Source organism: Homo sapiens, chromosome X (genome assembly GCF_000001405.40).
Source record: "Homo sapiens chromosome X, GRCh38.p14 Primary Assembly".
Taxonomy (NCBI): domain Eukaryota; kingdom Metazoa; phylum Chordata; class Mammalia; order Primates; family Hominidae; genus Homo; species Homo sapiens.
This window is the reverse complement of record NC_000023.11, coordinates 75,542,610-75,565,921: the sequence shown is the minus strand read 5'-3', so window position 1 is coordinate 75,565,921 and position 23,312 is coordinate 75,542,610. Positions and strand designations below refer to the sequence as shown.

Below are 23,312 nucleotides of genomic sequence, written 5' to 3'. Positions count from 1 at the left end.
CGTCTGACTGGTGTACCTGAAAGTCACGGAGAAAATGGAACCAAGTTGGAAAACACTCTGCAGGATATCATCCAGGAGAACTTCCCCAATCTAGCAAGGCAGGCCAACATTCAGATTCAGGAAATACAGAGAACGCCACAAAGATACTCCTTGAGAAGAGCAACTCCAAGACACATAATGGTCAGATTCACCAAAGTTGAAATGAAGGAAAAAATGTTAAGAGCAGCCAGACAGAAAGGTTGGGTTACCCTCAAAGGGAAGCACATCAGACTAACAGCAGATCTCTCGGCAGAAACTCTACAAGCCAGAAGAGAGTGGGGGCCAATATTCAACATTCTTAAAGAAAAGAATTTTCAACCCAGAATTTCCTATCCAGCCAAACTAAGCTTCACAAGTGAAGGAGAAATAAAATGCTTTACAGACAAGCAAATGCTGAGAGATTTTGTCACCACCAGGCCTGCCCTAAAAGAGCTCCTGAAGGAAGCGCTAAACATGGAAAGGAACAACCAATACCAGCTGCTGCAAAATCAGGTCAAAATGTAAAGAGCATCCAGACTAGGAAGAAACTGCATGAACTAACGAGCAAAATAACCAGCTAACATCATAATGACTGGATCAAATTCACACAAAACAATATTAACATTAAATGCAAATGGACGAAATGCTCCAATTAAAAGACACAGACTGGCAAATTGGATAAAGAGTCAAGACCCATCAGTGTGCTGTATTCAGGAAACCCATCTCACGTGCAGAGACACACATAGGCTCAAAATTAAAGGATGGAGGAAGATCTACCAAGCAAATGAAAAACAAAAAGAAGCAGGGGTTGCAATCCTAGTCTCTGATAAAACAGACTTTAAACCAACAAAGATCAAAAGAGACAAAGAAGGCCATTACATAATGGTAAAGGGATCAATTCAACAAGAAGAGCTAACTATCCTAAAAATATATGAACATAATACAGGAGCACCCAGATTCATAAAGCAAGTCCTGAGGACCTACAAAGAGACTTAGACTCCCACACATTAATAATGGGAGACTTTAATACCCCACTGTCAACATTAGACAGATCAAGGAGACAGAAAGTCAACAAGGATACCCAGGAATTCAACTCAGCTCTGCACCAAGTGTACCTAATAGACATCTACAGAACTCTCCACCCCAAATCAACAGAATATACATTTTTTTCAGCACCACAAGACACCTATTCCAAAATTGACCACATACTTGGAAGTAAAGCTCTGCTCAGCAAATGTAAAAGAACAGAGATTATAACAAACTACCTCTCAGACCACAGTGCAATCAAACTAGAACTCAGGATTAAGAATCTCACTCAAAACTGCTCAACTACATGGAAATTGAACAACCGGCTCCTCAATGACTACTGGGTACATAACGAAATGAAGGCAGAAATAAAGATGTTCTTTGAAACCAACAAGAACAAAGACACAACATACCAGAATCTCTGGAACGCATTCAAAGCAGTGTGTAAAGGGAAATTTATAGCACTAAATGCCCACAAGAGAAAGCAGGAAACATCCAAAATTGAGTCCCTAACATCACAATTAAAAGAACTAGAAAAGCAAGAGCAAACACATTCTAAAGCTAGCAGAAGGCAAGAAATAACTAAAATCAGAGCAGAACTGAAGGAAATAGAGACACAAAAAACCCTTCAAAAAATTAACGAATCCAGGAGCTGGTTTTTTGAAAGGATCAACAAAATTGATAGACCACTAGCAAGACTAATAAAGAAAAAAAGAGAGAAAAATCACATAGATGCAAAAAAAAAATGATAAAGGGGATATCACCACTGATCCCACAGAAATACAAACTACCATCAGAGAATACTACAAACACCTCTACGCAAATAAACTAGAAAATCTAGAAGAAATGGATAAATTCCTCGACACATACACTCTCCCAAGACTAAACCAGGAAGAACTTGAATCTCTGAATAGACCAATAACAGGAGCCGAAATTCTGGCAATAATGGATAGCTTACTAACCAAAAAGAGTCCAGGACGAGATGGATTCACAGCCGAATTCTACCAGACGTACAAGGAGGAAATGCTACCATTCCGTCCGAATCTATTCCAATCAATACAAAAAGAGGGAATCCTCCCTAACTCATTTTATGAGGCCAGCATCATCCTGATACCAAAGCCGGGCAGAAACACAACAAAAAAAAGAGAATTTTAGACCAATATCCTTGTTGAACATTGATGCAAAAATCCTCAAAAAAATACTGGCAAACCGAATCCAGCAGCACATCAAAAAGGTTATCCGCCATGAACAAGTGGGCTTCATCCCTGGGATGCAAGGCTGGTTCAATATACGCAAATCAATAAATGTAATCCAGCATATAAACAGAACCAAAGACAAAAACCACATGATTATCTCAATACATGCAGAAAAGGCCTTTGACAAAATACAACATCCCTTCATGCTAAAAACTCTCAATAAATTAGGTATTGATGGGATGTATCTCAAAATAATAAGAGCTATCTATGACAAACCCACAGCCAATATCATACTGAATGGGCAAAAACTGGAAGCATTCCGTTTGAAAATTGGCACAAGAGAGGGATGCCCTCTCTCACCACTCCTATTCAACATAGTGCTGGAAGTTCTGGCCAGGGCAATTAGGCAGGAGAAGGAAATAAAGGGTATTCAATTAGGAAAAGAGGAAGTCAAATTGTCCCTGTTTGCAGATGACATGATTGTATATCTAGAAAACCCCTTCGTCTCAGCCCAAAATCTCCTTAAGCTGATAGGCAACTTCAGCAAACCCTCAGGATACAATATCAATATGCGAAAATCACAAGCATTCTTTTACACCAACAACAGACAAACACAGAGCCAAATCATGAGTGAACTCCCATTCACAATTGCTTCAAAGAGAATAAAATACCTAGGAATCCAACTTACAAGGGATGTGAAGGACCTCCTCAAGAAGAACTACAAACCACTGCTCAAGGAAATAAAAGAGGATACAAACAAATGGAAGAACATTCCCTGCTCATGGGTAGGAAGAATCAATATCGTGAAAATGGCCATACTGCTCAAGGTAATTTATAGATTCAATGTCATCCCCATAAAGCTACCAATGACTTTCTTCACAGAATTGGAAAAAACTACTTTAAAGTTCATATGGAACCAAAAAAGAGCCCGCATTGCCAAGTCAATCCTGAGCCAAAAGAACAAAGCTGGAGGCATCACACTACCTGGCTTCAAACTATACTACAAGGCTACAGTAACCAAAACAGCATGGTACTGGTACCAAAACAGAGATATAGATCAATGGAACAGAACAGAGGCCTCAGAAATAACGCCACATAACTACAACTATGTAATGTTTGACAAACCTGAGAAAAACAAGCAATGGGGAAAGGATTCCCTATTTAATAAATGGTGCTGGGAAAACTGGCTAGCCAGATGTAGAAAGCTGAAACTGGACCCCTTCCTTACACCTTATACAAAAATCAATTCGAGATGGATAAAAGACTTAAACTTTAGACCTAAAAATATAAAAACCCTAGAAGAAAACCTAGGCATTACCACTCAGGACATAGGCATGGGCAAGGACTTCATGTCTAAAACACCAAAAGCAATGGCAACAAAGGCAAAATAGACAAATGGGATCTAATTAAACTAAAGAGCTTCTGCACAGCAAAAGAAACTACCATCAGAGTGAACAGGCAACCTACAAAATGGGAGAAAATTTTCGCAACCTACTCATCTGACAAAGGGCTAATATCCAGAATCTACAATGAACTCCAACAGATGTACAAGAAAAAAACAAACAACCCCATCAAAAAGTGGGCAAAGGACATGAACAGACACTTCTCAAAAGAAGACATTTATGCAGCCAAAAAACACATGAAAAAATGCTCACCATCACTGGCCATCAGAGAAATGCAAATCAAAACCACAATGAGATACCATCTCACACCAGTTAGAATGGCAATCATTAAAAAGTCAGGAAACAACAGGTGCTGGAGAGGATGTGCAGAAATAGGAACACTTTTACACTGTTGGTGGGACTGTAAACTAGTTCAATCCTTGTGGAAGTCAGTGTGGTGATTCCTCAGGGATCTAGAACTAGAAATACCATTTGACCCAGCCATCCCATCACTGGGTATATACACAAAGGACTATAAATCATGCTGCTATAAAGACACATGCACACGTATGTTTATTGCAGCATTATTCACAATAGCAAAGACTTGGAACCAACCCAAATGTCCAACAATTATAGACTGGATTAAGAAAATGTGGCACATATACACCATGGAATACTATGCAGCCATAAAAAAAGATGAGTTCATGCCCTTTTTAGGGACATGGATGAAATTGGAAATCAGCATTCTCAGTAAACTATCGCAAGAACAAAAAAGTAAACACCGTATATTCTCACTCATAGGTGGGAATTGAACAATGAGATCACATGGACACAGGAAGGGGAACATCACACTCTGGGGACTGTTGTGGGGTGGGGGAAGGGGGAGGGATAGCATTGGGAGATATACCTCATGCAAGATGACAAGTTAGTGGGTGCAGCGCACCAGCATGGCACACGTATACATATGTAACTAACCTGCACATTGTGCACATGTACCCTAAAACTTAAAGTATAATAATAAAATAAAAATAAAATAAAACAAAATGAAAGAAAAATAAAATACTTAGGGAAAACCTAACCAAGGATGGGAAAAAAATGATACAATGAAAGCTACAAAACAGGGCGGAGGAGCCAAGATGGCCGAATAGGAACAGCTCCGGTCTACAGCTCCCAGCGTGAGCGACGCAGAAGACGGGTGATTTCTGCATTTCCATCTGAGGTACCGGGTTCATCTCACTAGGGAGTGCCAGACAGTGGGCGCAGGTCAGTGGGTGTGCGCACCATGCGCGAGCTGAAGCAGGGCGAGGCATTGCCTCACTTGGGAAGCGCAAGGGGTCAGGGAGTTCCCTTTCCAAGTGAAAGAAAGGGGTGACAGACGCACCTGGAAAATCGGATAACTCCCACCCAAATATTGCGCTTTTCGGACCGGCTTAAAAAACGGCGCACCACGAGATTATATCCCGCACCTGGCACGGAGGGTCCTACGCCCACGGAGTCTCGCTGATTGCTAGCACAGCAGTCTGAGATCAAACTGCAAGGCGGCAGCGAGGCTGGGGGAGGGTTGCCCGCCATTGCGCAGGCTTGCTTAGGTAAACAAAGCAGCCCAGAAGCTCGAACTGGGTGGAGCCCACCACAGCCCAAGGAGGCCTGCCTGCCTCTGTAGGCTCCACCTTTGGGGGCAGGGCACAAACAAAAAGACAGCAGTAACCTCTGCAGACTTAAATGTCCCTGTCTGACAGCTTTGAAGAGAGCAGTGGTTCTCCCAGCACACAGCTGGAGATCTGAGAACGGGCAGACTGTCTCCTCAAGTGGGTCCCTGACCCCTGACCCCCGAGCAGCCTAACTGGGAGGCACCCCCCAGCAGGGGCACACTGACACCTCACATGGCAGGGTATTCCAACAGACCTGCAGCTGAGGGTCCTGTCTGTTAGAAGGAAAACTAACAAACAGAAAGGACATCCACACCAAAAACCCATCTGTACATCACCATCATCAAAGACCAAAAGTAGATAAAACCACAAAGATGGGGAAAAAACAGAACAGAAAAACTGGAAACTCTAAAACGCAGAGTGCCTCTCCTCCAAAGGAACGCAGTTCCTCACCAGCAACGGAACAAATCTGGATGGAGAATGACTTTGACGAGCTGAGAGAAGAAGGCTTCAGATGATGAAATTACTCTGAGCTACGGGAGGACATTCAAACCAAAGGCAAAGAAGTTGAAAACTTTGAAAAAAATTTAGAAGAATGTATAATTAGAATAACCAATACAGAGAAGTGCTTAAAGGAGCTGATGGAGCTGAAAACCAAGGCTCGAGAACTACGTGAAGAATGCAGAAGCCTCAGGAGCCGATGCGATCAACTGGAAGACAGGGTATCAGCGATGGACGACGAAATGAATGAAATGAAGCGAGAAGGGAAGTTTAGAGAAAAAAGAATAAAAAGAAATGAACAAAGCCTCCAAGAAATATGGGACTATGTGAAAAGACCAAATCTACGTCTGATTGGTGTACCTCAAAGTGATGGGGAGAATGGAACCAAGTTGGAAAACACTCTGCAGGATATCATCCAGGAGAACTTCCCCAATCTAGCAAGGCAGGTCAAAGTTCAGATTCAGGAAATACAGAGAACGCCACAAAGATACTCCTCGAGAAGAGCAACTCCAAGACAAATAATGGTCAGATTCACCAAAGTTGAAATGAAGAAAAAATATTAAGGGCAGCCAGAGAGAAAGGTCGGGTTACCCTCAAAGGGAAGCACATCAGACTAACAGCAGATCTCTCGGCAGAAACTCTACAAGCCAGAAGAGAGTGGGGGCCAATATTCAACATTCCTAAAGAAAAGAATTTTCAACCCAGAATTTCATATCCAGGCAAACTAAGCTTCACAAGTGAAGGAGAAATAAAATACTTTACAGACAAGCAAATGCTGAGAGATTTTGTCACCACCAGGCCTGCCCTAAAAGAGCTCCTGAAGGAAGCGCTAAACATGGAAAGGAACAACCGGTACCAGCCGCTGCAAAATCATGCCAAAATGTAAAGACCATCAAGACTAGGAAGAAACTGCATCAACTAATCAGCAAAATCACCAGCTAACATCATAATGACAGGATCAAATTCACACATAACAATATTAACTTTAAATGTAAATGGACTAAATGCTCCAATTAAAAGACACAGACTGGCAAATTGGATAGAGTCAAGACCCATCAGTGTGCTGTATTCCGTAAACCTATCTCATGTGTAGAGACACACATAGGCTCAAAATAAAAGGATGGAGGAAGATCTACCAAGAAAATGGAAAACAAAAAAAGGCAGGGGTTGCAATCCTAGTCTCTGATAAAACAGACTTTAAACCAACAAAGATCAAAAGAGACAAAGAAGGCCATTACATAATGGTAAAGGGATCAATTCAACAAGAAGAGCTAACTATCCTAAATATATATGCACCCAATACAGGAGCACCCAGATTCATAAAGCAAATCCTCAGTGACCTACAAAGAGACGTAGACTCCCACACATTAATAATGGGAGACTTTAATACCCCACTGTCAACATTAGACAGATCAACGAGACAGAAAGTCAACAAGGATACCCAGGAATTGAACTCAGCTCTGCACCAAGCGGATCTAATAGACATCTACAGAACTCTCCACTCCAAATCAACAGAATACACATTTTTTTCAGCACCACACCACACCTATTCCAAAATTGACCACATACTTGGAAGTAAAGCTCTCCTCAGCAAATGTAAAAGAACAGAGATTATAACAAACTATCTCTCAGACCACAGTGCAATCAAACTAGAACTCAGGATTAAGAATCTCACTCAAAACTGCTCAACTACATGGAAACTGAACAACCTGCTCCTGAATGACTACTGGATACATAACGAAATGAAGGCAGAAATAAAGATGTTCTTTGAAACCAACGAGAACAAAGACACAACATACCAGAATCTCTGGGACGCAATCAAAGCAGTGTGTAGAGGGAAATTTATAGCACTAAATGCCCACAAGAGAAAGCAGGAAAGATCCAAAATTGACACCCTAACATCACAATTAAAGAACTAGAAAAGCAAGAGCAAACACATTCTAAAGCTAGCAGAAGGCAAGAAATAACTAAAATCAGAGCAGAACTGAAGGAAATAGAGACACAAAAAACCCTTCAAAAAATTAATGAATCCAGGAGCTGGTTTTTTGAAAGGATCAACAAAATTGATAGACTGCTAGCAAGACTAATAAAGAAAAAAAGAGAGAAGAATCAAATAGCCACAATAAAAAATGATAAAGGAGATACCACCACCGATCCCACAGAAATACAAACTACCATCAGAGAATACTACAAACACCTCTATGCAAATAAACTAGAAAATCTAGAAGAAATGGATAAATTCCTCGATACATACACTCTCCCAAGACTAAACCAGGAAGAAGTTGAATCTCTGAATAGACCAATAACGGGAGCCGAAATTGTGGCAATAATCAATAGTTTACCAACTAAAAAGAGTCCAGGACGAGATGGATTCACAGCCGAATGCTACCAGAGGTACAAGGAGGAAATGGTACCATTCCTTCTGAAACTATTCCAATCAATAGAAAAAGAGGGAATCCTCTCTAACTCATTTTATGTGGCCAGCATCATTCTGATACCAAAGCCGGGCAGAGACACAACCAAAAAAGAGAATTTTAGACCAATATCCTTGATGAACATTGATGCAAAAATCCTCAAAAAAATACTGGCAAACCGAATCCAGCAGCACATCAAAAAGCTTATCCACCATGATCAAGTGGGCTTCATCCCTGGGATGCAAGGCTGGTTCAATATATGCAAATCAATAAATGTAATTCAGCATATAAACAGAGCCAAAGACAAAAACCACATGATTATCTCAATAGATGCAGAAAAAGCCTTTGACAAAATTCAACAACCCTTCATGCTAAAAACTGTCAATAAATTAGGTATTGATGGGATGTATCTCAAAATAATAAGAGCTATCTATGACAAACCCACAGCCAATATCATACTGAATGGGCAAAAACTGGAAGCATTCCGTTTGAAAATTGGCACAAGAGAGGGATGCCCTCTCTCACCACTCCTATTCAACATAGTGCTGGAAGTTCTGGCCAGGGCAATTAGGCAGGAGAAGGAAATAAAGGGTATTCAATTAGGAAAAGAGGAAGTCAAATTGTCCCTGTTTGCAGATGACATGATTGTATATCTAGAAAACCCCTTCGTCTCAGCCCAAAATCTCCTTAAGCTGATAAGCAACTTCAGCAAAGTCTCAGGATACAAAATCAATGTACAAAAATCACAAGCACTCTTATACACCAATAACAGACAAACAGAGAGCCAAATCATGAGTGAAATCCCATTCACAATTGCTTCAAAGAGAATAAAATACCTAGGAATCCAACTTACAAGGGATGTGAAGAACCTCTTCAAGGAGAACTACAAACCACTGCTCAAGGAAATAAAAGAGGATGCAAACAAATGGAAGAACATTCCATGCTCATGGGTAGGAAGAATCAATATCGTGAAAATGGCCATACTGCCCAAGGTAATTTACAGATTCAATGTCATCCCCATCAAGCTACCAATGACTTTCTTCACAGAATTGGAAAAAACTACTTTAAAGTTCATATGGAACCAAAAAAGAGCCCGCATCGCCAAGTCAATCCTAAGCCAAAAGAACAAAGCTGGAGGCATCACACTACCTGACTTCAGGCTATACTACAACGCTACAGTAACCAAAACAGCATGGTACTGGTACCAAAACAGAGATATAGATCAATGGAACAGAACAGAGCCCTCAGAAATAACACCGCATATCTACAACTATCTGATCTTTGACAAACCTGAGAAAAACAAGCAATGGGGAAAGGATTCCCTATTTAATAAATGGTGCTGGGAAAACTGGCTAGCCAGATGTAGAAAGCTGAAACTGGATCCCTTCCTTACACCTTATACAAAAATCAATTCGAGATGGATTAAAGACTTAAACGTTAGACCTAAAACCATAAAAACCCTAGAAGAAAACCTAGGCATTACCATTCAGGACATAGGCATGGGCAAGGACTTCATGTCCAAAACACCAAAAGCAATGGCAACCGAAGCCAAAATTGACAAATGGGATCTAATTCAACTAAAGAGCTTCTGCACAGCAAAAGAAACTACCGTCAGTGTGAACAGGCAACCTACAGAATGGGAGAAAATTTTTGCAACCTACTCATCTGACAAAGGGCTAATATCCAGAATCTACAATGAACTCAAACAAATTTACAAGAACAAAACAAACAACCCCATCAAAAAGTGGGCGAAGGACATGAACAGACACTTCTCAAAAGAAGACATTTATGCAGCCAAAAAACACATGAAAAAATGCTCATCATCACTGGCCATCAGAGAAATGCAAATCAAAACCACAATTAGATACCATCTCACACCAGTTAGAATGGTGATCATTAAAAAGTCAGGAAACAACAGGTGCTGGAGAGGATGTGGAGAAATAGGAACACTTTTACACTGTTGGTGGGACTGTAAACTAGTTCAACCCTTGTGGAAGTCAGTGTGGCGATTCCTCAGGGATCTAGAACTAGAAATACCATTTGACCCAGCCATCCCATTACTGGGTATATACCCAAAGGACTATAAATCATGCTGCTATAAAGACACATGCACACATAGGTTTATTGCGGCATTATTCACAATAGCAAAGACTTGGAACCAACCCAAATCTCCATCAATGATAGACTGGATTAAGAAAACGTGGCAAATATACACCATGGAATACTATGCAGCCATAAAAAATGATGAGTTCATGTCCTTTGTAGGGACATGGATGAAATTGGAAATCATCATTCTCAGTAAACTATCGCATGAACCAAAAACCAAACACCGCATATTCTCACTCATAGGTGGGAATTGAACAATGAGATCACATGGACACAGGAATGGGAATATCACACTCTGGGGACTGTGGTGGGGTGGGGGGAAGGGGGAGGGATAGCATTGGGAGATATACCTAATGCTAGATGACGAGTTAGTGGGTGCAGCACACCAGCATGGCACATGTATACATATGTAACTAACCTGCACAATGTGCACATGTACCCTAAAACTTAAAGTATAATAAAAAAAAGAAGAAAAAAAATAAAAAAAAATAAAAATAAAAATAAAGAAAACTACAAAACAATGAAGAAATTAAAGCAGGCACAAATAAATCACAAGATATTCCATATCCATGAAATGTAAGAATTAATGCTGTTAAACTGTCCATACCACCTTAAGATGTTTACAAATTCGTGTTCCCCATCAAAATTCCAATGGCATTTTTCACAGAAAGAGAAAAACCAATCTTAGTCGTCATATGAAACTACAAAAGACTCTGAATAGCCAAAATGATCTTGAAAAAGTATATCAAATCTGGCCTCACACTTCTTGATTTCAAATTTCAAAGTATATTACAAATCTATAGTAATAAAAACAGTATGATACTGCCATAAAAACAGACACAAAGAACAATGGAAAAACATAGGGAGCCCAGAAATAAACCCATAAATACACAGCCAACTGCTCTTCCACAAGATTGCCAAGAATACAAAATGTTCAAAGAACAGTCTCAATACACTGTATTAGAAAAACTTAATATATTGCTTTTCAGCCTTTTGGCTAAGATGAGGTATAGGAAATCTAGATTATCTCCATGCAAAATAATTAGATTGAACACTTATCTTACACCATTCACCAAAAACAATTCAAAATGGATTAAAGACTTAAACATAAAAAATGAAAACATAAAATTCTGGTGAAAGCTCCGTGACATTGGTCTTCACAGTTATTTCTTGGATCGGACACAAAAACAGTGAGAATAAAAGTAAAATAAACAAGTGGGATTACATCCACCTAAAAAGCTTCTGCACTGCAAAGGAAATAACACAGTGAAACGGCAGTTTACAGAATGGGAGAAACTGTTTGGAAACTATACATCTGGTAAAGTGTTAATATCCAAAATATATAAGGAACTCACACAACTCAAAAGCAAATAAGGAAAACCAGATTAAAAATGGGCAAAAAACTTGAATAGACATTTTTCCAAAGAAGACATACAAACAGGCAACAGGTATATGAAAATGCAAATCAAATATTCATGAGATATCACCTCATACCTGTTAAAATAAATATTACCAAAAAGTCAAAATATAATAAGCATTGGTGAGGATGTGGAAAAAATGAAACATTCATACGTTGTTGATAAAAATGTAAATTGGTAAGCCATTACAGAAAACAGCATAGAGGCTCGTCAAATAAATAAAAATAGAACTATCATTTGACCCAGCAATTCCTCTTCTGGGTACATACTCAAAGGAAGTGAAATCAGCACCTCAAAGAGATATCTGCATTCCTATGCTCACTGCAGCATTATTCACAATAGTCGAGATATGAAAACAATATACATGTCCATAACAGACGAATGGATTAAAAAAATGTAGGGTGTGTGTGTGTGTGTGTGTGTGTGTGTGTGTATACATATATATGTATTTGTGTGTGAGTGTATGTGTGTATAGTAGAAATATTCTCAGCCTTATAAAGAAGAAACTCCTGCCATTCCCAACAACATGGATGAACCTGTACAACACGGTAAGTGAAATAAGCCAGGCTCAAAACAACATATATAAGTGAATATTGCACAATCACTTATATGTGGAATCTAAAGATAGCCAAACTCATAGAAGCAAAAAGTAGAATGGTGATTTCCAGGGGGCTTGGTGGGGCCAGGGTTGGGGGGTGGGCAGCAGGCGTGGAGTGGGAAATGGGGAAATGGTCAAAGTGTACAAAGTTTTATTTATCTGAGATAAATAAGTTTTGGAGATCTAATGTACAGCATTGTTAACAATACTATACTGTAAACTATTTTTTCATTTAAATTGAACTTTATTAAAATAGGTGCCAGTTTTCCTCTCTCCTAGTTCCACTGATGAGCTAGCCCAGAACTATATAACTTTGAGCCAAGTTTCCAAAGATGGTAAAGCTAAGAACAGCAAACTAATAAGGACAAATAGGTCACTTTTGGTAATGACACACAAATTAAACTTTCAAAACATGTGCATAGCTTTATTCATCTACTTAGATCTAACCTTTTCATGGAGCTTCGGCAAAATTAGAGTGTGCAAAATGCATTTCTAAAACTTAATGCAAGCAAAGCTTTCACATTTACACTGTCAGGAAATACACAGAGAAACTAACAAGTCACATTAGGGAGAATTCAATCTTTTCTTTAATGACAAGAATTGCACAGCTTATTATTTTGAGAAAATTGTTGCAGACATAGATATTTAAAATTTTCTAAGCAAGGTGCTTTTAACAACAGAATTTTTAAAGTTAGAAAGAGCTGATAATTTGGAACATAGCTCATACAGAATTCCAAATTAAAGTGGACTCCATTATCTCCCTACATTCTGCAAACAATGCTTTGTATAACACTTCTTTAAAACACTAAAGGAGGCAGCAAGCTGAAACTTTTTTCAAAGCACACAAGAAATGGTGTCATCACATTACTTGAAGAAGGTGCTGAGGGGAAAAGAAAAGGGAGTGAAGAATCCTTTTACTATTTCCCACTACAGAACAGCCACTAACAGACTAACAACAAAAAAGACACAACAAAAACAGTAAATCAACATCCCCAGCTTATAAAATAGTTCCAGTTTGACAAGATCTATAAATAGAGAACACCATTTGGACAACAGAATGAGCATTTCATACTGCATAAAAATTAATGAGGTGGTAAGAACCATCAACTATCTCAGGCATTACTACATGGCCTTTCAAAAATTTTTTTAACGTACGTGCAAGGCACATTGATACAAAAATAGCTCTCTGGCCAACAAATATATTAAATAAGAAAATTAAAATTTTGACTTTGTGATATTGGCAACATCAAAATATAACCAGATAGCTTTGGCCCACACATCTTTCTCATACTCCTCCAACTCATTCGGTGTTGCCCACCTATTATTTTTGGTTCAATCACCTTCAAGTTTCGGTATGTGCTTGAGAAATTACTTTTCTTCTTATCAAGTAGCATTCTTCCTAAAGTTTTCCTTTGCTAAGTAAAAATATATAAGATAAACAGAATAGTTGGAGTTATTTCTTCAATAATTTAATTTTTTAATATTTTTATTATACTCTAAGTTCTGGGATACATGTTGCAGAATGTGCAGGTTTGTTACATAGGTATACATGTGCCATGGTGGTTTGTTGCACCCATCAACCCATCATCTACATTAGATATTTCTCCTAATGCTATCCCTCCCCTAGCCCCCTACTCCCTTGACAGGTACCAGTGTGTGATGTTCCCCTCCCTGTGTCCATGTGTTAAAATTATTCAACTCCCACTTATGAATGAGAACATGCAGTGTTTAGTTTTCTGTTCTTGTGTTAGTTTGCTGAGAATGATGTTTCCACCTTCATCCATGTCCCTGCAAAAGAGATGAACTCATCCTTTTTATGGCTGCATAGTATTGCATGGTGTATATGTGCCACATTTTCTTTATCCAGTCTGTCATTGATGGGCATTTGGGTTGGTTCCCAGTCTTTACTATTGTGAACAGTGCTGCAATAAACATACATGTGCATGTGTCCTTATAGTAGAATGATTTATAATCCTTTGGGTATATAACCAGTAATGGAATTGCTGGGTCAAATGGTATTTCTCGTTCTAGATCCCTGAGGAATCACCACACTGTCTTCCACAATAGTTGAACTACTTTACACTCCCACCAACAGTGTAAAAGTGTTCCTATTTCTCCACATCCTCTCCAGCATCTGATGTTTCCTGGCTTTTTAATAATCACCATTCTAACTGGCGTGAGATGGTATCTCATTGTGGTTTCGATTTGCATTTCTCTAATGACCAGTGATGATGAGCTTTTTTTCATATGTTTGTTGGCTGCATAAATGTCTTCTTTTGAGAAGTGTCTGTTCATATCCTTCACCCATTTTTGATGGGGTTGTTTGTTGTTTTCTTGTAAATTTGTTTAAGTTCTTTGTAGATCCTGTATATTAGCCTTTTGTCACATAGACAGATTGCAAAATTTTCTCCCATTCTGTAGGTTGCCTGTGCACTCTGATGATAGTTTCTTTTGCTGTGCAGAAGCTCTTTAGTTTAATCAGATCCCATTTGTCAATTTTGGCTTTGGTCATTGCTTTTGTTGTTTTAGTCATGAAGTCTTTGCCCATGCCTATGTCCTGAATGGTATTGCCTAGGTTTTCTTCTAGGGTTCTTATGGTTGTAAGTCTTACATTTTAGTCTTTAATCCTTCTTGAGTTAATTTTTGTATAAGGTGTAAGGAAGAGGTCCAGTTTCAGTTTTCTGCATATGGCTAGCCAGTTTTCCCAAGACCATAAGTAATCCTTTCCCCATTGCTTGATTTTGTCAGGTTTGTCAAAGATCAGATGGTTGTAGATGTGTGGCATTATTTCTGAGGCCTCTCTTCTGTTCCATTGGTCTATATATCTGTTTTGGTAGCAGTACCATGCTGTTTTGGTTATTGTATCCTTGTAGCATAGTTTGAAGTCAGGTAGTGTGATGCTTCCAGCTTTTTTCTTTTTGCTTACAATTGTCTTAGCTATACGGGCTCTTTTTTGGTTCTATATGAAATTTAAAGTAGTTTTTTTTTGCAATTCTGTGAAGAAAGTCAATAGTAGCTTGATGGGGATAGCACTGAATCTATAAATTACTTTGGACAGTATGGCCATTTTCACAATATTGATTCTTCCTATCCATGAGCATGGAATGTTTTTCCATTTGTTTGTGTCCTTTTTTATTTATTTCCTTGAGCAGTGGTTTGTAGTTCTTGAGGAGGTCTTTCACATCCCTTGTAAGTTGTATTCCTAGGTATTTTATTCACTTTGTGGCAATTGTGAATGGGAGTTCACTCATGATTTGGTTCCCTGATTGTCTATTATTGGTGTATAGGAATTCTTGTGATTTTTGCACATTGATTTTGTATCCTGAGACTTTGCTGAAGTTGCTATCAGTTTAAGGAGATTTGGGGTGAGATGATGGGGTTTTATAAATATACAATCATGTCATCTTCAAACAGAGACTATTTGACTTTCTCTCTTCCTATTTCAATACCCTTCATTTCTTTGTCTTGCCTGATTGCCCTGGCCAGAACTTCCAATACTCTGTTGAATAGGAGTGGTGAGAGAGGCCATCCTTGTCTTGTGCTGGTTTTCAAAGGGAATGCTTCCAGCATTTGCCCATTCATTATGATATTGGCTGTGGGTTTGTCATAAATAGCTCTTTTTTATTTTGAGGTACATTCCATCAATACCTAGTTTATTGAGAGTTTTTAGCATGAAGGGGTATTGAATTTTATGGAAGACCTTTTCTGCATCTATTGATATAATCATGTGGTTTTTGTCATTGGTTATGTTTATGTGATGGATTACATTTATTGATTTGCATATGTTGAACCAGCCTTGCATCCCAGACATGAAGCCGACTTGATTGTGGTGGATGAGCTTTTTGATGTGCTGCTGGATTCGGTTTGCCATCATTTTATTGAGGATTTTCGTATTGATGTTCATCAAGGATATTGGCCTGAAATTTTCTTTTTTTGTTGTGCCTCTGCCAGGTTTTGATTGATGTGATTTATACTAAATGTGAGTGGTTCAGGGCAGCATTATTTCTCCTCTATATATAAACAAAATATAAGTCCCCAGCATACATAGATTAATGTTTTCTAAAAGTTCAGCAACAAATCAATGACACTACATCCTTTAAGCCATTCTTCCCAATTCCCCTTGCTGAGGCAGAGAGAGGGAGTAATAGAAACAAAGCTAATATTTAAACTATTTTCAGTAGTAGGAGACATTTAAGGCCAAAAAGTGTACTATTAACAGAAATCTTAAGTTCCTAAGTTACTGTCCTTCATAGGCCAATACCAGCTAAGAATTAGTTACTTGCACTGATTCCTTCCCAAAGAGAATTTTATAATTCACTCACTCTTGTTAGTGGCTGTGCTACAGGAAAGGTATCAAAGCAAGCTATGGTATATATATGGTATATAGTAATGTAAAAAGTGCATCACATTCTTGATTTTCAGTTTCTCATAGCAGCAGCACAATTAATCTAAGACAGAAAACAGCTGTACTTTCATTCTTAAAATGCAACAATATCTAGTGAAATGTATTCAAGATCATGAAAGGATCCGCCTCTATGAAGTATAAATGAAAACAGACTAATAATAATAGACAAACAGGGGTAAACTAAAGGCATTCATTCATATTTACATATTAAAACCCCTTTTGTTAACACCAAATCTTTACATCTAGTAAAAGAATGAGCACTTTAAGAATAAAGCAGACAATATTAAAGCAGTATCCATTTTCAGAGCCTTTGATTAGCACATGAGGAAACAAGGGTATATGGGAAGCTATGTAATTTGCCTCATGTTGGTTTGTTGGTCTGAAGAGTACAACTTTGATATGCACAGAAAGTAAAACTAAATAGGAAAATAAGTGTTTGTAGCTGTTTTAATATGGCTGTAGAAAAGGGATACTGGCCAGGTGCAGTGGCTCACATCTGTAATCCCAGCACTTTGGGAGGCTGAGGCGTGTGGATTGCCTGAGGTCAGGAGTTCAATACCAGTCTGGCCAACATGGTGAAACCCCATTTCCACTAAAAATACAAAAACATTAGCCTGGCGTGATGGTGTGTGCCTGTAATCCCAGCTACTCGGGAGGCTGAGCCAGGGGAATTGCTTGAACCAGGGAGGTGGAGGTTGCAGTGAGCTGAGATTGTGCCACTGTACTCCAGCCTAGGCAACAGAGCAAGACTCCATCTCAAAAGAAAAAAAAGAAAAGAAAAATATGTTCACACAAAAGACATACACACAATGTACATAGCCAAAAAAGTAGAAACAACCCACATGTCTACCAAACTACAACAAAATGTAGTATATCCATACAGTCAAATGTTATTCAGCCATGAAAAGAATGAACTACATGGATAACCCTCACAAAACACTGTCAGCTCCCACTTGGCTTTGCACTTCCACCTGCCCTGGTAGCTTAACACAAAACACAGAACTTTTGGGAGCTCTATGGCCCTGCTCATTGCCTGAGACACCAGATTACCTTCCCTGGGTAATATAAGGCAGGCACAATTCCCACTGCTACCACTGCAGTTGGTGCTCTCTTACAAGCACCACATCCTGGCTGGAGGCCAACCAACATGGTTATGTAGCAACAAGCTGTGAACTTTTTTCCAAGAAGCAACACAGGAACTTAACAGGGAAACAGAAAGAAACCACAGATCCTTTGAAAGAAGCAGCGGGCTGCAGCCTACACCGTGAGCCAGGCAGAAAGCTATTAAGTCCTCAGAGTGCAATAAGGGGAGAGACTGCCTCCAAGATATAGTCTCCACTGGGGAACCTGGCAAACAGCCCACAGTGGAAGGCCTTAACCCTATCCAGTTCTGGAGCTGTGACCGGTGAGAGTACATGAGGAGGAGCAGCATCAGCATGTACTTTGCATGCACTCCCAGACTCCAGAAAGAATGGAGGGAAGCCATTCCTGATCCTACCTCATAGGGGACCTTGCACAAGTCAGCTGGATAACTCAGATGGCAGTCCCAGGTTGATAGAAGCTCCCAACTGAGATTCATAATATAATCTCGAGTGGGACAAACCCCCTTAACCAGAACCGAGGGGCAAGGAGGAAGAGTGCTATAGCCACAGGTGCAAGTGTGGAGTGGGTGGGCCCTGGCCTGAAAGCCATGGTTTCTGTCTTGAGGGAGAAGACTTATGGCCTGGGGCAGTTTTGAGTTCTGAGTGTAGACTGCCTAGAATCTATCTAGCTGCTCCTAGTGGAACACTGTGGTGTGTGAAACATGCCTTGCCAATTGTGTGGGAGCTGGGTGGGGCTTACTGCTCCCTGCTACTCCCTCCCCTAAATGCAGATTCTTCCGTGCAGCGGAAGCAGCTGTACTCCTCCATGGAACATTATATCAGTGACCAAATAATTGCCATCTGATCCCCACTGGGGCTGCTGCTTACAACTGCACATGGGGAGTCAGAGTGCAGACTTGACTGACTCAACCCCCACTTGGCTTTGCCCTTCCACCTGCCCTGGTAGCTTAGTACAAAACACAGAAACTTTTGGGAGCTCTATGGCCCTGCTCATTGTCTGAGACACCAGATTACCTTCCCTGGGTAATATAAGGCAGGCACAATTCCCACTGCCACCACTGCAGCTGGTGCTCTCTTATAAGCACCACCTCCTGGCTGGAGGCCAATCAATATGGTCCAATACAGTATATGTAAGCAAAGTAACACAGTGTCCAGGAACAAGAAAACTTGTATAAGACCTCAGCTATCACCATTGCTTGCAGCACCCTGGTTAACCAGGAAGTCTTGAGTCTGTCCACATGACTAGCTCATTACTACTACAACTGGCACTTGAGAAAGCCAACACACTAAGACTATTTATAACCAAGGAAATCTAACTGATGGCAGTGACAGGAGAGTGAGAGTTGGTGCTGATACCTGCTGCTGGGAGACTTGAGGAAATGTCACATCACTGGATCCCTTGCAGACATGCCCCAGCACCATCCCTAAGTGTGGCAGTTCCACTAGGTGGGTAGGCCCAGAAGAGCAGCATGATTCACAGTAGCTCATCCCTCAGGGACTCTTACTCCTAGGGGAGGGGAGAGTGTACCACATCAAAAAAGTACCCTGTGGGACAAAAGAATCCAGACAGCTGGCTTTGAGTTCCAGAACTTTCTGCTTGTGAAAAGTTTCTTTAAGCACAGGCACAGGAGCAGTACTAGACTCAGTGGAGAAAGTCTGTGGCTCTACCCAAACAAGCAGCCCTGGTACTTGTGAAGGGTGCTAGAGAAGGTGACTTCTTCCCCTTGCCCACCAATGCTGACATAGCTGAGGCTTCTCCCATAAGAGCTCAGTGGTGGGTAAACCTGTAGACAGCCTTTCTAGAGAACTTCAGGGTGACTGCATCCCCAGAGGAGGAGCACCCTCCAGGTTCAGGCTTGCATGAAGGGTAGAGTAACGATCCTTTTCTATGTGAAACATCAGCATTTCTGCTAGTGAAAAGGGTGCCTGTCTAATCTGTATAGCTGGAACACTGGGTCAGGACTGTGACTTGGAGGTAGATCGCTTTCCTGCTGGCCTGGCAGGGGAGCTGAGGTGGCTCCCTCCCTTCCCCCTGAAAAGACAGTATGTTTCACTGAGAGCTCCCACAGCCACTTCTATCAAGGCTGGGACCTCTGTGCAACTTTAGGTATTGTATTTACCCATTTGCCTTAGCCATGCACAGTTTTTACCCATAGACACTGCTTACTGGCCTGAAGCCTGAACTGTTCAAATGAGAGAAAAAAATACTGGAAAGAAAAACAAATAAATAACAGTGCACACCACTGGGAGCAAGATAAACTTCATGAGACTTCTGCCTTTCAAACCCCAGAAGAGACAGTGAACCTGCTCACACACCAAGTATATCGCTACTATAACCAGCTTCTGAGAAAGCCATCATACAAAGACTCTCTGTAACCAAGGAACTCATACAGAGTCTTCACCACTAAAAGCATCCAGAGTCAAATTAGGTTACAATGAACCATAAACATTTAAGTCATATCCCTAAGGAGAAAAAAAGAAATTTCTAAAAATGTAGTCAAATAAAAAAATAAATTCAAAACAGAAGAAACAGTTTATCAAAATGAGAAGAAGCCAAAAACTAATTCTGGCAAAATGAAAAAACAGGGTTCTATAAGGTCCCAAAAATACCACACTAGCTCTCCAGCAATGGATCCAAACCAAGATAAAATCCTTGAAATGTCAGATAAAGAATGCAAAAAGTTAATGATTAAGTTACTCATGAAGATACAAAAGAAAGGTGAACACCAACATAAAAAAAATTAAGAATAATTTGGGATATAAATGAAAAATGTCTAAAGAGATAGATATTTTAAAGAAAAAACAGGAGGTGGTTAAAAAATGGCAGATAGAAGACAGAACCAGAGTGCAGCTCTCGCTTGGATGAACAGAACAGTGTCTGAAGATTCACACTGTAAACTTTTGCTCCAAGAACCACCACAGGAACACACCAGGAAGATCAAAATAATTCACAGCCCCTTTGAAAGAAGCAGCTTGCTGCTGAAAACTCTGTAAGACAGCCAAAAAATTATGAGTTCCCAAAGTGAGAGAAAGGAAGTCTGCCTCCGAACACACATAACCACTGAGAAACCTGAAAATCCAGATCTGGGAGAAGGATTTAACCTTACCTAGAGCTGAAGTGGATTTAGAGAGCTGAGCAAAATACGAAAGTAGAAGGAGGAGCAGGAAGAAACCTGTAGGCACTCTTGGTCCCCAGCTCAAGCTTAGGGAAGCCATTCCTTATCTAACAGAGGTCCTTGGGGAAGGAAAAGCAGCCAGAAAGAATTGAGCAGGGCTCACAGGGTGAAGGAAGCTCATAGCTGAAGCTTGTAATAATTTCTATTGAGCACAAATTTTCCTGAGAAGAATCTGGGTGGCGGGGGTGGGGGGGTGGGGCAGGGGCAAACCAGAAGTGCACATACAAGCACAGAAGCCTCAGCTGAAGGTGCAGGCAGGAAGGGAGGGATGAGGCCTGAGAACCCTGCTTGCTTTCTCAAGGGGGATGCTTGAAGCCTGGGGTAATGTCCCTGCCCTGCTCACCAGTTGCCTGGATGTAAACTCAGTGCTGTTGGTGGGGCACAGCAGGAATGAGATTGGCTTTGCTGATTACATGAAAGCTGGGTGAAGGCCTGTCACTGCCGGCTTTTCCCCACTTCTCTGGTGACCTGCATGATGCAGTAGAGGTAGCCATAATTCCCCTGGGAACATAACTTCATTGGCCTGATAACCACCCTACATCTCCAACAGTGGCCACAGCAAGCCCCACTTAAGGAGAGTCTGAGCTCAGACCCGTCTAACCCTGCACCCACCTGATGGTTTTTCTCTATGCACTCTGGCAGCCAAAGGAAAAAGACATAAGCTCTTGGGAGTTCCATGACTGTACCCATCACCCAAGAAACTGGAGTATTTGTCCTGGCCAATGTAGGGCAAGATTGTATCCTCCTTCTACGACCACAGCTAGTGGTCCTTGAAAGCACCACCTCCTGGCTGGAGGCCAACCAACTCAAGCCATTACAGCAACTCCTAACAGAACACCTCTGCTCCAAAGGAGAAAACAACAGCTAATTCCCCCGCCTGCAACACCCTGGCTAATCAGATGTCCTGAATCCATCCATGTCATAACTTCACTGTCAGCATGACAAGCATTTGAGAAAACTGGTGCACTAAACAAAACTACAACCAAGGACGCTCAGAGTCCACTACACTCCTGAGCTACTACTGTAGCACTGGACCAGGTGCTGGTATCCACAGCTGGGAGATTGAAGATGAGTCACATCACAGGACTTTTTGCAGACATTCCTCAGCACCAGCCAAAAGTCAGGTAGCCCTGCTGGGTGTTTAGACCCAGGAGGGCAATCACAATCACTGCAGTCTGGCTCTCAGGAAGTCCTATCCCTAGGTGAAGGGGGATAGCACCACATCAAAGATCACCCCATGGGACAAAAAAATCTGAACAGCATCCCTTGAGTTCCAGATTTTTCAACCAAAACAGTCTACCCAAATGAGAAGAAACCAGAAAAGTAATTCTGGTAATATGACAAAACTAGGTTCTATAACAACACCAAAAGATCACACTAGCTCTCCAGCAATGGATCCCAACCAAGGAAAAAAAATCTGAATTGCCAAAGAATTCAGAAGGATGACTATTAAGCTACTCAAGGAGGCACCAGAGAAAAGTGAAAACCAACTTAGAGAATGTTTTTAAAAATATAGGATATAGATAAAAAAGCCTCCAGAGAAACGGCTATCATAAAGACAAGATAATCACAACTTCTGGAAGTGAAAGACACACTTAGAGAAATGCAAAATACACTGAAAATGTTAAAAAAATATAATTAAATGAATAGAAGAATTTCACAGCTCAAAGAAAAGGCATCTGAATTAACCCAATCTATCAAAGACAAAGAAAAAAATTAAAAATGAATAAAGCCTCCCAGAAATTTGGGATTATGTTAAATAATCAAACATGAAAACAATTGTTCTTCCTGAGAAAGAAAAGAAATCTAAAAGTTTGGAAAACTTATTTCAGGGAATAATCAAGGAAAACTTCCCTCGTCATGCTAGAGATCTAGACATCCAAATATAAGAAGCCCAAAGAACACCTGGAAAATTTATTGCAAAAAGATTATCACCTAGGAACATAGTCATCAGGTTATCTAAAGTCAAGATGAAGGAAAGAATATTAAGAGCGGTGAGACAAAAGCATCAGGTAACCTATAAAAGAAAATCTGTCAGACTAACTACAGATTTGTAAGCAGAAACCCTAGAAGCCAGAAAGGATTGGGGTCCTATCTTTAGGTTTCTTAAACAAAGTAATTATTAGCCAAGAATTTTGTATTCAGCAAAATTAAGCTTCATAAGTGAAGGTGGTATGGTTTGGCTCTGTGTCTCCACTCAAATCTCATGTTGAATTATAATCCCCATATGTCAGGGGAGGGACCAGGTGGGAGGTTATTAAATCATGAAGGCAGATTTCCCTCATGCTGTTCTTGTGATAGTGGGTGAGTTCTCACAAGA

General features: G+C 40.3%; 1 long non-coding RNA gene across 10 annotated transcripts in view, besides 2 other annotated features; it reads right to left on the bottom strand.

Moving 5' to 3' along the window:
* LOC107985664 (uncharacterized) overlaps positions 1-23,312 on the bottom strand; it is a 270,484-nt gene that overhangs the window by 227,689 nt on the left and 19,483 nt on the right. The gene's annotated exons all lie outside the window — the stretch shown is intronic.
* Positions 4,527-5,026: an enhancer, noted in NCBI's record as "H3K4me1 hESC enhancer chrX:74780731-74781230 (GRCh37/hg19 assembly coordinates)". NCBI's record gives its function as "activates a minimal SCP1, AML or CMV promoter by ChIP-STARR-seq in primed H9 embryonic stem cells {active_cell/tissue: H9 hESC(primed)}" and the evidence as "EXISTENCE:reporter gene assay evidence [ECO:0000049][PMID:30033119]".
* Positions 5,027-5,528: an enhancer, noted in NCBI's record as "H3K4me1 hESC enhancer chrX:74780229-74780730 (GRCh37/hg19 assembly coordinates)". NCBI's record gives its function as "activates a minimal SCP1, AML or CMV promoter by ChIP-STARR-seq in primed H9 embryonic stem cells {active_cell/tissue: H9 hESC(primed)}" and the evidence as "EXISTENCE:reporter gene assay evidence [ECO:0000049][PMID:30033119]".